Here is a 12,169-nt window from a genome sequence, read left to right as displayed (position 1 = left end):
TATCCCAATCAAATCTTTCTTTCACAATTTATTATGGAAACGGTGAAATAGATTTGGGGGCCTTTCTGATACTGAAGGTAATGAAAATTTCCTATATAAAAATCTATTTTAATACAAAGAAGAAATTCTTATTTTATAAATAAAACTCATAATGTCATTCTTCTCTGTTTCCAAACAGTAGACACCATACTCCACACTCCAAGAAACCTAGAATTCACGTCCTACGACTTCCACAACCCAATTCCAACTCCACTTTCATCAATATGTCTAAGGTGTATCTGCCCCATGGGCCTTCTGGATGTGTTCATCAATTCTGAAAAACTCTGAACTCGGAAGCTCAGTGAGCCCCAGGGTTTGGGGTAAGATATTACGGACCTGCACTTCCTCAATCACTAATGTTGCACTTCAGCCAAAAGTGCTTCCGCTCACTCTACTACTGTACTACTGTACCTGACGGCAGATGTCACCAGAGAGCCTCCCTGCCTGTGTGCATGGGGGTCCTCCCTGTCCTTTCTGGCTCAGCACATCACTGCCTCCGTTTTTAAGCATCCCCGGCCCCACTGGAAACTCTGGCAGGCTCTCCTCTACGCTCCCTCACCATTGATCTGCTTCCCTCTCAGGGCGTGTGATAATTATGGTCTATATAGGGGTGTCCAATCTTTTGGCTTCCCTAGGCCACACTGGAAGAATTGTCTTTGGCCACACATAAAATACACTAACACTAACACTAACGATAGTGCTGATGAGCTTAAAAAAAAATAAAATAAAAAAATCATGTTTTAAGAAAGTTTATGAATTGTGTTGGGCTGCATTCAAAGCCGTCCTGGGCTGCATGTAGCCCGCGGGCCATGGGTTGGACAAACTTGGTCTACCATATACCATGGCTGTGTAAAGACAGACATCCTGAGAAGAGGATTCCTGCATTCTTCTGTCTATGAAGACACCAATTCCTAACTTTTAAATTACTGTTGTAGAAGAATGAATGAAAAGGTAACTTCCTACCTCCCATACAAGAGCAGATACACTTTTGTATTCCAAGAACTAGGCCATGGCTCTCAAACTCTGGATAGCTTACAACAAAGTCAGAATCTCAGGCCCTATCCCTGTCTCTATATCTTTAAGCTCCTCCAGTGATTCTGATGCTAGTCTCCATAGGCCACACTTCAGGAAACTCTGAAGTAAGAAATTATTTAAACATCAGGCTGGATGCAGTGGCTCACGCCTAATCCCAGTACTTTGGGAGGCTGAGGTGGGTGGATCACTTGAGGCCAGGAGGTCGAAACCAGCCTGGCCAACATGGCAAAACCCCATTTCTACTAAAAATACAAAAATTAGCTGGCGTGGTGGTGTGCACCTGTGATCCCAGCTACTTGGGGGGCTGAGGCACAAGAATTGCTCAAACCCAGGAGGTGGAGAGGTTGCGGTAAGCCAAGATCGCACCACTGCACTCCAGCCTGGGTGACAGAGCGAGACTGTCTCAAAACAAAACAAAACAAAACAAAACAAAACAAAACAAAACAAAACTCCTCCTGTGCTCCTTTCCCTGGACAATTTCTTTAGCATTTCAGGAACTGCATTGAAAAAAAAAAATCCTCGCCTTTAATTGGAAGGTTAAATCCCCATAATTAGTTTGGCTCTTTTGGGGAGTGGGAGGGAGATGGGGAAGGATAAGGGTAGAGGAAGAGAGGACAGTGCTTTGAAACAAAAGGAGAGGCAGGGCCCAAACCTGGAGGCAGGGAAAGGGAGGGAATGGAGGGGAGGTTTTGCATTCTGAAAGTGCCTGGGAATGTAGGGTGTCCTTGTGGCAGGCTAGGGAGGCTCTGGTGCTTAAGTGTCATTCTATGTCCAAGCCTGTGCCACACAAGAGTGAGGATGCTGCCCTCAAGAGTGAGGGGCCAGGGAATCGGGCGCAGCAGTCAGCGACTGAAGATCAGACCAGGGGACCTTCCCCAACCTCTGAGCTCAGTTCAGCCCTGAGGTTTCTGTATGTTCCTGAGGGAAGAGAATGGGTCTCTGCCAAAACAGAGGCTGAGAATGAATTTCTAATTAAGTATGGTGGGTAGAACCTGAGTCCAAGATTACCATAAAAATATGGAAGCATGGCATTTCTTATATTCCACTACCACATAACAAATGCTTTCCATTTTAAAAATGATTGTATTTTTGCATCTACTATGTGCCATCCACAAAGAAGGTACTCAAAAACTTGAATAAATGGATGAATGAATGAATACTGAATGACTAGGAAAAGTCACTGTTTAATACAGCAGATTTGAAAAGAGAGAAGAAAGGACCTTTCATTGGCCTCTGGCCTCATTCAGGACTTGCGTTCTGGTCGGAAGGATAAAACTGGCATTTCTAAGTCAATACCAGAGTTTCCTTTTCAGAAGGTAAGACACCGTGGTGCAGAACTAATTACACTTTATGTAGCACTCATCTAAGTCTACTGACCATATGCTGTGGAACCATGGACTGCAGAAAGGGCTGCATTATTTCTACCATGGAGATGTCTATCTATCCATTATCATGAGCACACAAGACAGGGAGAGGAAGAGAAAGGACAGCTGGCCACCCTGTGAGGTGAAGTCTTTCCGCTTCAAGGCAGCACCTGTCAGGCTCCGAGAAAACGCAAGGTATGTATGTACTGGGCAGAATCTCCGCAGGCTCCCAACGACCCCCTGGGACCAGCGGCCCCACCAAGGGTGAGAGCTCAGCCCAGAAGGAGCCCATGTGCTCCTCTATTCTCCTTGAGGCCTCTACTCTTCTTGGCTTTGCAAAGGATGGAAGATTCCGTGAGCCCTGGCTAAGTACATTCTAACCTGGGTCTTGTGCTGTCACCTCCTTGAGTTTGGCTGTGACATAAAACAACTCTTCCTTTTTTCTTAAAAAACGAAACAAAACCACCACCACCACCAAAGTTCATACATGGAACTCTATGTCAAGACCACAGCTCTGGACCAGATCCATATGACCATCACCCGGCCTCACACACCACGCACCTAATGCTGGTTTGTGCTGGCACAGAAACTGTATACCCAAGCTCTGGTCAGAGCCCCATGGCCAGTTAATGCCATTCAGCCACTCATTCCTGCCATGCAAACGAACACTCACCATCTGTCTGCTCCCAACCTCCCACCTCAATACTGCTCTGTGCTTTCTTTCCCTAATTTTCTCCTAGCAATTCCTTTTGACCATTCTCCAGAATTCCTATTCTATCACACTCATTAACAATTTAGAAATCATTAGAGAACTACATACTTAGCTGAAATATCAAAAGGTACTGAAAGGCTAGTCATGAAAAGCAATGTTCCCTGCTCTTCCTCTGCTCTTCTGAAGGCTTCTCTCCAGGGACCCCCACCTTGAACTAGGTTACTTTTCAGTTCTTCTGGCAGTTGCCTTTTTATCATTAATGTTTTTATTGTTATTTCCTGATCTATCCATTTTAGGCATCACTTTAACCAACCTCTTACTGAAACAGAAGGTGATTTTGGTCATCAGCCCCGCCCCTCCCTCCAGTATATATCACTGCTCTTAGTGCCTCTGTTAGTTCCTGTGCCATTATCCTGAGGGTGACAGTGATGGAAAGATGCCACCACAGATAGGAAGTGGACATGACTCTCTGGGATATGGGGAGACGATGTGCCTGTTACCCACACACAGCTACAAGATCAGAAGACAATGCAGCCATAGCCCACTGAAGGGCGGCTTCCCAGGCCCCACAGGGAGGAGCCCTCAGACCCTGATGCACCTGTGCGTCGGGGTGAAGGCAGGAGGCTTGCTGGGAAGCTCCGTTTTCCATTCTCACCAAGACAGGTGGGCTGGTTTGAGGGAGAGGGAGTTTTGCCCCTGACCCCTGAGTGTTCTAGAGACTGTCCACTGTTAACTGGTAAAACCCCCGTACAATGCTGTGTACTTCCTGTAAAGGCGAACAGAACTTCAGCTCCAGGGTGCACTATGCTCCAGGCCCGCCCAGCAGAGGCATGCTCCTGTAGCTGTCTGTAGGAGGCCAAATCATATACTCATACCTTTATTTCTTCTTCTACCACCTGTATTATTCTTTTCATTGTGTAATTTTTTTTCTTTTTTAGTAGGGATGGGGGTCTCACTATATTGCCCAGGCTGGTCTCGAACTCCTGGCTTCAAGTGATCCTTCCGTCTCAGGCTCTCAAAGTGCTGGGATTACAGACATGAGCTACCATGCTCAGCTTCTTTTTCATTTTGGAAAATCTTAAGCTTTTTAAAAAGTAGAAAGAGCACTATAATGAACCTCACACGCTCATCATCCTGCTTTAGTAAATTATCAGCTCAAGGCCAACCTTGTTTCATCCACACTACACTTACTTTCCCTATGATCATATTATTTTGAAGCATTCCCCAGACCCAATCATTTCCCTCTTAACTATTTCAATATTGACAGGAGCACTGAACTTTCTTCTTTGTAAAATTTGGATGTTTATGTCCTCAGCCCTCCCTTTTCTTCTATCTTCTAACTCTCTGGACAAAATTCTAACCAACAACAATCCAATCTTCTAACTCCACGCTGTGTAGACTGAGATAACAGATTCTTGGTTGCCAACCTCAGCCAGCCCATAGCACTGGTCAGCAATTGTTCTGACAATATCAGAAAAAGGTGTCGGCTCCTTTATAAAAGTTATAAAAGTTGTAAAAAAGAAAAAGTTCTGATACCTACCGTAAAGCCCTTATACTAACAACTATATACTCATCTGGCATACATTTAGGGAGTATCTCCAACTGATTAGCACATGACACTGAGGACACTGAGGGATAAAAATGCGATCCTTGCCATTAAGAAATCTTCGTATAGTGGAAACAGACACTCTGCTGTGGAGGTGCAGAGGAGGAAAGGAAGTTGCTATGGGATGTGTGTCATCAGATGGTCCCCTTCCCTGGGTTTCTACACAAGAATTCCACCTGGACTCCCTGGACTCCTGGACCTCCTAAGTCCTCCCAGGACTTAGGCCTGGCTCCTTCCAATCCACACTCCCAACTGCTGCCAGTGGGGTCTTTCTAAACACTGATCGTCGGTGACTTTTCGGCCTAAAACATCTCAACAATTCCCAGTCACATCAGGACTCAAGTTCACAGCCTGCAATCTCCAGTCTCTTCATAATGGCCCTCCCCAGCTCTCCACCTTCTTGCTCATAGCACTGTCACCAGCTCTGCTAAACTCCTGGTAGTTCCTGAAAGGGCTGGTCATTTCCTTTCCCCACCACGAACACCCCCTTCCCCCGCCCCCATGCTCCTTAGGAATCAGCTCTGGTGTGATCTCTCTTAACTTGGACTCAGGTGACACAGGGCACTCCCCTCCCCTCTCATGGCTCCCAGGAATGCATGGGCACACCTCCAACACCGAGCTTCTAACGAGGTGCCTGCTGTCCACTCACAGCTGCTGCTCTGGGCCAGAAAGTCTGCTGGCTGAATGAATTTTAAGGAAGTCTAGTGGGTTCCTGGCTCTGGAGATCACAGGAGAGAAGTCTGCTAGAGACAAAGATTTACCTGTCCAGCCAAAGGCAATGTTCCCAGATGGTGTGGATGAGATTGCCCAGGGAAAAAGAGTCCAGATGAAACCCAAGGGAACAATAGCATTAAAGAGCTGACAAGAGACAACCAAAGCGAAAGCTGAAAAGCAGGGGACTTTCGAGACAAAGGAATAACACATTTTTCTTTTTTTTTTTTTTAATTATACTTTAAGTTTTAGGGTACATGTGCACAACATGCAGGTTTGTTACATATGTATACATATGCCATGTTGGTGTGCTGCACCCATTAACTCGTCATTTAACATTAGGTATATCCCCTAATGCTATCCCTTCCCCTTCCCCCCACCCCACAACAGGCCCTGGTGTGTGATGTTCCCCTTCCTGTGTCCATGCGTCCTCATTGTTCAGTTTGCACCTATGAATGAGAACAAGCGGTGTTCAGTTTTTTGTCCTTGCGATAGTTTGCTGAGAATGATGGGGGCAACATGGTAAAACCCTGTCTCTACTAAAATACAAAAAATTAGCTGGGCGTGGTGAAGTGTTCCTGTAGTCCCAGCTACTCGCAAGGCTGAGGCACGAGAATCACTTGAACCCAGGAGGCAGATGTTGCAGCGAGCCAAGATTGCACCACTGTACTCCAGCCTGGGCGACAGAGTGAGACTCTGTCTCCAAAAAAAAAAAAAAAGAAAAAAGAAAAAAGAAAAGAATTAAACTGTACTTAAAAGCATGTGTCTTTCTTTGTTTCAAACTATATTTAAGGTTCTTGTACAGCCTTGTGGGTTTCATCATAAAGAAAAATTTTTTTTTTTTTTGGAGACAGGAGTCTTGCTCTGTCGCTCAGGCTGCAGTACAGTGGTGCAATCTTGGCTCGCTGCAACATCTGCCTCCTGGGTTCAAGTGATTCTTGTGCCTCAGCCTTGCAAGTAGCTGGGACTACAGGAACACTTCACCACGCCCAGCTAATTTTTTGTACTTTAGTAGAGACAGGGTTTTACTATGTTGCCCAGCCTGGTCTCAAACTCCTGAGCTAAAGCGATCTGCCCGCCTCGGCCTCCCTAAGTGCTAGAATTACAGCACAACCATATAATTCTTAAAACTCTTAAGATACAGACAATTAACACCAGGAGGTACGGATATGCACTGTTATTATACAATAAATATAAACATTAAAAGTATATCTGACACTATTCATAATAGCCAAAGAGTGAAAACCACCCAAGCATCCATCGATAGAAAAATGGATAAACAAAACGTGGTATATACATATAAGGAAGATTATTCAGCTATGACAAGGAATAAGTACTGAAACATACTAAACACGGGTGAACCTTGAAAACAGTATGCTAAGTGAGAGCATATCATGTGACTCAATTTATATAAAATGTCCAGAATAGGCAAATCCACAGAGACAGGAAATACAGACTGGGGGTTGCCGGAAGAGGGGGGAATGAGGACTGACTGCTAGGGGCTTCTTCTGGAAGTGGTGAAAATATTCTAAAATTGGCTGTAGTGACGGGTGGCTGCACGCTTCTGTGAATACACTGAAAACCACTGAATTGTGTACTTTAAATGAGCGAACTGTATGGTATGTAAATGATGTCTCAATAAAGCTGTTATAAGAAAAAAAGCACATCCAAGTGAACAAAAGTTTCACACATCCCTTGCTCAGTATAGCGATCCTGTTAGCACCCATAAACAGAACTCTAAAATCTAAATGAATGCCCAGTTCTCAATACCAATTCTGTGTTGCCTTTACTTGTGAACACTGGCCTCTTACATAAAACAGTAGATGAAACACCCAGCACGCAGACTTCTATATTAGCTCCACATTACAGTAACAACCTCTGTTGCAGAGTCGGGAACGAGCCAGAGCCTCACCACTCCACCTTCCCACCTCACACACTTTCTGTCCAACCATCTTCTATCTTGAATACCTACCGCCCACGCCCCCAAACTATGGACATAGCTGAAGCCGGCTGAGCCCCGGCTTACTGGGGAGAACAACTAGGATAGCTTTCAGAAAGCAGGGGCAGAGGGAAGGGTGCTCACCCACAGGAACAACCAATCAAAAAACAGGCACAACCGGCCCCAACACACCCGCCACCCTCCCAGAAACAGGACTTTTCAGTCTGTGGGTTTTGTTTGTTTTTTAGCTGCATCTACAAAGATTTTTATAGTCAGTTTCAAATTCCCTCAGCAGTTATAGGTTTTGATCTGTTCCTAATTATGGAAAAGAATCCTGGGATTGGTTCAGAGTGAAGGAACTTGAGTTTAGTATTACCATTTTTAAAGCCCCAATGCTTACACAAATTTCCAACTAGAGAATTAGATTTCCTCAGTTACTTTGCTTTAAAAAAATGAGAATCTCAATTTTTAAAATCTCATTTAAAAAATGAGAATCTCAATTTTTAAAATCTCATTTAAAAAAGGAGAATCTCAATTTTTAAAATCTCATTTAAAAAAGGAGAATCTCAATTTTTAAAATCTCATTTAAAAAAGGAGAATCTCAATTTTTAAAATCTCATTTAAAAAAGGAGAATCTCAATTTTTAAAATCTAATTTAAAAAATGAGAATCAAAGGCAAAACGGCTTTGCCTGCATCGAAAGCCATACTGAAATTTAACTGAATGGCCTACACTGCACTATTTAGACATTTCCCTACTGTCTTCCTTAAATAAGTCTCTCCATTTTTACTGAATTTGCACAGTTGCTAAATGTGTGTATTTAAGAGCCATGCTACACACCTAGAAAAGCTAAGTCTCTGGGGAAAAAACAGCAATAAAGAAACATGCAGCCCTTGTTGAGAACATGATGTATTTACCCAGGAAGACACGAGCTCAGCCCTCCACATAGCGCACAGCCAGATACGGTCCCCAAAGCAGAGAGAACCAGTGTCAACCAGGCTCTCATGCGAGGACTGAGAACACACGGTGACACGGGCCTAGTCACAGTGAATAGTGCAGTCATTTGTACCAAACAGCAAAAAGACACGTTTGCAATAGAACTTACCTGCGTTTTCAAGGAAAGCTTGGCAAACTAAATGGTGGGCATGCCATCGTTTATTTTCACAAGTGCTCCTGAATGCAGCATTCATAAGTGGATCTTAATTTAAGTTAGTGATCCAGAAAAGATAAGGAGCACCAGAAAACCAGGAAGAAAATCAACATCTCCTTGATTATGAAACTTAAAATTATTACTTCTTAGAAGTAAGTGTGGGGAAGAGCTCCCTCTAGAATGAAAGCTCTAAAACCACTTCAGTGACTTTCAGAGGGTGGAGCAATAGGGAACTGGGAGGAAAAAAACTCGGCATTGGCAACAAGTATGGCCATCTCCAGCACAAAAGCCTGCTTATAGGCACAGACTGGGAAAAGTGTCAGCAGCATAAGTCAAGATTTTCACTAAGAATCTAAAAAGTATTAATCATTTGTCAGCTATAAGCAACAAAGCACGATGTTCAATTAGATTGAGAATATGGAGAGGTATGTCAGTACAAAAACAATCTCAACTTAAAATGAGTAAATAAATAAATTTTATTTACTAGAACCCTAATCAAGTGTTTACATGAAAATAACCTAACAAATATATATAATCTATATCTTAATAGTGTCAGGAGATGTTGCCAAACTGAAATTATACTGACTGGAACCTAGAGCTCAACCTCTTTCGGATCGGAGAAACTACCGAAACCCCTGCAAGCTCTATTCCAAATGCAGCCTACAGCAGGGAGAATTCTAAGAATGCCCCCAAGATTTCCACCTCTTGATGGGCACGCTCTGTATCTTCCCTACTCCTGTGTGGGTAGGCCTGACCTAATCAGATAAGCTCCTTTAAAACAGGGTCTAGAGATCAGAGTCCTAAGAAGTCAGAGAAATTTGAAGCTTCAGGATACTTATTCAATATGTGCATAGGTATATAAGATCTAAAATTTTCATTTTCAAATGTTATATAAATGCAATCATGCAGTATATAAATTTCTAAGATTTTCTTTTTCAATCAGCAAAATTTGCTTGGGATTTATCAAAGTTGTTGTGTTTCTGTATATCAACAGTTCATTTCTTTTTGTTGCTGGGTATTAGGCCATGGTGTGTATGTAGCATCATTTATTTAAGCATTCATTTGTTGAGGAATATTTGGCTTGTTTCCAGTTTTGGGCTATTATAAATAAAGCTGTTAAATATTGCTTTCAAGTGCTATAAACACGGGTGTACAGAGATTTGTGAGAACACTGGTTTTCATTTCTCTAGGATAAATGCCTAGGAATGCAATTGCTGGGTTATATGATAAGTATAACATTAGTTTTTTAAGAAACAAAGTATTTTCCAGAGTGACTGTACCATCTTATATTCCCACCAACAATGTATGAGTGATCCAATCTTTCCCCACTCTCTCCAACATTTGGTGTTATTACTATTTTTAATTTTAGTCATTTTGATAAGTGTGTAGTGTTATCTCATTGTGCTTTCAATTTGCATTTCTCTAATGGTTATTTTATTTTTATTTTGAGAGGCAGTCTCATTCCGTTGCCCAGGCTGGAGTGCAGTAGCACAATCTCAGCTCACTGTAACCTCTGCCTCCCAGGTTCAAGCGATTCTCCTGCCTCAGTATCCTGAGTAGCTGGGACTATAGGCATGTGCCACCATGCCTGGCTAATTTTTGTATTTTTAGTAGAGACGGGGTTTTGCCATGTTGGCTAGGCTGGTCTTGAACTCCTGACCTCAAGTGGTGATCTGCCTGCCTTGGCCTCCCAAAGTGCTGGGATTTCAGGTGTGAACCACACCTGGCCTCTCTAATGGTTATTGATGCCGATCATCTTTTATGTCATTATTTGCCATATGTATATCCTCTTTGGTTAAATGTCTATTCATGTCTTTTGCCCATTTTCTAACTGAATTGTTCGTTTGTTTACTGTTGAGTTTTGAGAGTTATTATATTCTAGATTCAAGTGCTTTCCCAGAAATATGGTTTGCAAATATTTTCTCCCAGTCCATAGCTTGCCTTTTCATCTTCATAACAGGGTTTCTCACAGAGCAAAAACTTTTGGTTTTATGTGGTCCAGTTTATCAAGTTTTCCTTTTATGAATCACGTTTTTAGTATCGAGTCTAAAAAGGTTTTGTTTCGTTTTGGGATTCAAAGATTTTCTCCTATATTTTTTTCTAAAAGTTTTATAGTTTTATGTTTTACATTTAGATCTGTGATCAATATTGCGTTAATTCTTATATAAGATGTGAGATTTAGAGATTCCTTTAGTTGCCTATGGTTGTCCAACTGCTCTAGCACTATTCGTTAAAAGGCTATCCTTTCTTCATTGAATTGCCTTTGCAGGGCCTTTGTCAAAAATCAGCTGGGGGCTGGGCGCAACGGCTCATGTCTGTAATCTTAGCACTTTGGGAGACCAAGGCGGGAGGATCACTTGAGCCCAGGAGTTTGAGAGTTTGAGACCAGACTAGGCAACACAGGGAGATCTCATCTCTACCAAAAAAAAAAAAAAAAAAAAAAAAAGAATTAGCCAGGCATGGTGGTATGCACCTGTAGTCCCAGCAACTTGGGAGGCTGAGGCAGGAGGATCACTTGAGCCAGGGAGGTTGAGGCTGCAGTGTGCTGTGACTGCACCACTACACTTTGGCCTGGGCGACAAAGTGAGACCCTGTCTCAAAAAAAAAAAAAAAAAAAAAAATTCAGCTGGAACTAGCGTGGCGGTGTGCACCTGTAATCCCAGTTATTCAGGAGGCTGAGGTGAGAGGGTTACTTGAGCCCAGGAGTCAAGACCAGCCTGGACATCATAGTGAGACCCTGTCTCAAAAAAACACCACAAACAAAATCAAATCCTAATCAGTTGGACATATTTATGTGGTTCTATTTCTGGGATCTACCTATAGATCAGCCTATCCCATTGATCTGTGTGTCTACCCCTCTACCTGAAACAATGTCTTGATTACTGTACCTAAATAGTAAGCCTTAACATTGGGTAGGTTGATTCTTCCCATTTTATTCTTCTTTTTCTAAATTGTTATAGCTATTCTAGAACTTTTGCCCTTTCATATAAATTTCAGAATAAGCTTGTCTATATCTACAAAAACATCTTGCTGTGATTTTTAAAGACTTTTTTTATTGTAGTAAGATATAACATAAAATCACTTTAACCATTTTTAAGTGTACAAATCAGTGGCAATAATTACATTCACAATTTTGTGCAACCAATATCACTACCTACTTCCAAAGCTTTTTCATCACCCCAAAGGGAAACTCTTTAATAACCATGAAGCAGTAATTCCCTATTTCCCGCTCCCCCTAGCTGCTGGTAACCTCCAATCCACTTTCTGTCTCTAAGAATCTGTGTACTACTCTAGATATTTCATGTTAAGTGGAATCATTCAATATTTGTCCTCTTGCAACTAGCTTATTTCACTTAGCATGTTTTCAAGGTTCACTTGTGTTGTCGCATGTATCAGAATTTCATTCCTTTTTAATGCTGAATAACATTTTATTTTATACACACACACACACACACACACACACACACACACACATACATACATACCACATTTTGTTTATCCATTCATCCACTGATAGATATTTGGGTTGTTTCCACATTTTGATTACTGTGAATAATGCTATCAACATTGGAATACAACAAAGGGTTTCATGAACACAGACGCTGCGAGCATTA

The 12,169-nt window shown here is 42.3% G+C and overlaps 1 protein-coding gene across 4 annotated transcripts in view, besides 1 other annotated feature; it reads right to left on the bottom strand.

Annotated features, from left to right (window-relative positions):
* ATRN (attractin) overlaps window positions 1-12,169 on the bottom strand; it is a 180,101-nt gene that overhangs the window by 29,375 nt on the left and 138,557 nt on the right. For 2 of the 4 annotated variants that reach the window (NM_139322.4, NM_001207047.3), the window contains exon 25: window positions 5,686-5,916. The exons of the other annotated variants lie outside the window; for them this stretch is intronic. In NM_139322.4, coding sequence (NP_647538.1) covers window positions 5,899-5,916 — 18 coding nt within the window. In that variant the 3' untranslated portion in view covers window positions 5,686-5,898. Of the gene's footprint in view, window positions 1-5,685; window positions 5,917-12,169 lie in introns of those variants that run through there. 4 annotated transcript variants of the gene reach the window in all.
* Window positions 551-750: a silencer, noted in NCBI's record as "fragment chr20:3601641-3601840 (GRCh37/hg19 assembly coordinates)". NCBI's record gives its function as "represses an EF-1alpha promoter that drives an FKBP-Casp9 reporter gene in an ReSE screen in K562 erythroleukemia cells {active_cell/tissue: K562}" and the evidence as "EXISTENCE:reporter gene assay evidence [ECO:0000049][PMID:32094911]".

This window comes from Homo sapiens, chromosome 20, assembly GCF_000001405.40.
Source record: "Homo sapiens chromosome 20, GRCh38.p14 Primary Assembly".
NCBI lineage: Eukaryota > Metazoa > Chordata > Mammalia > Primates > Hominidae > Homo > Homo sapiens.
Note: the sequence above shows the minus strand (reverse complement) of the source record. Positions and strands in the feature narration are given on the sequence as shown.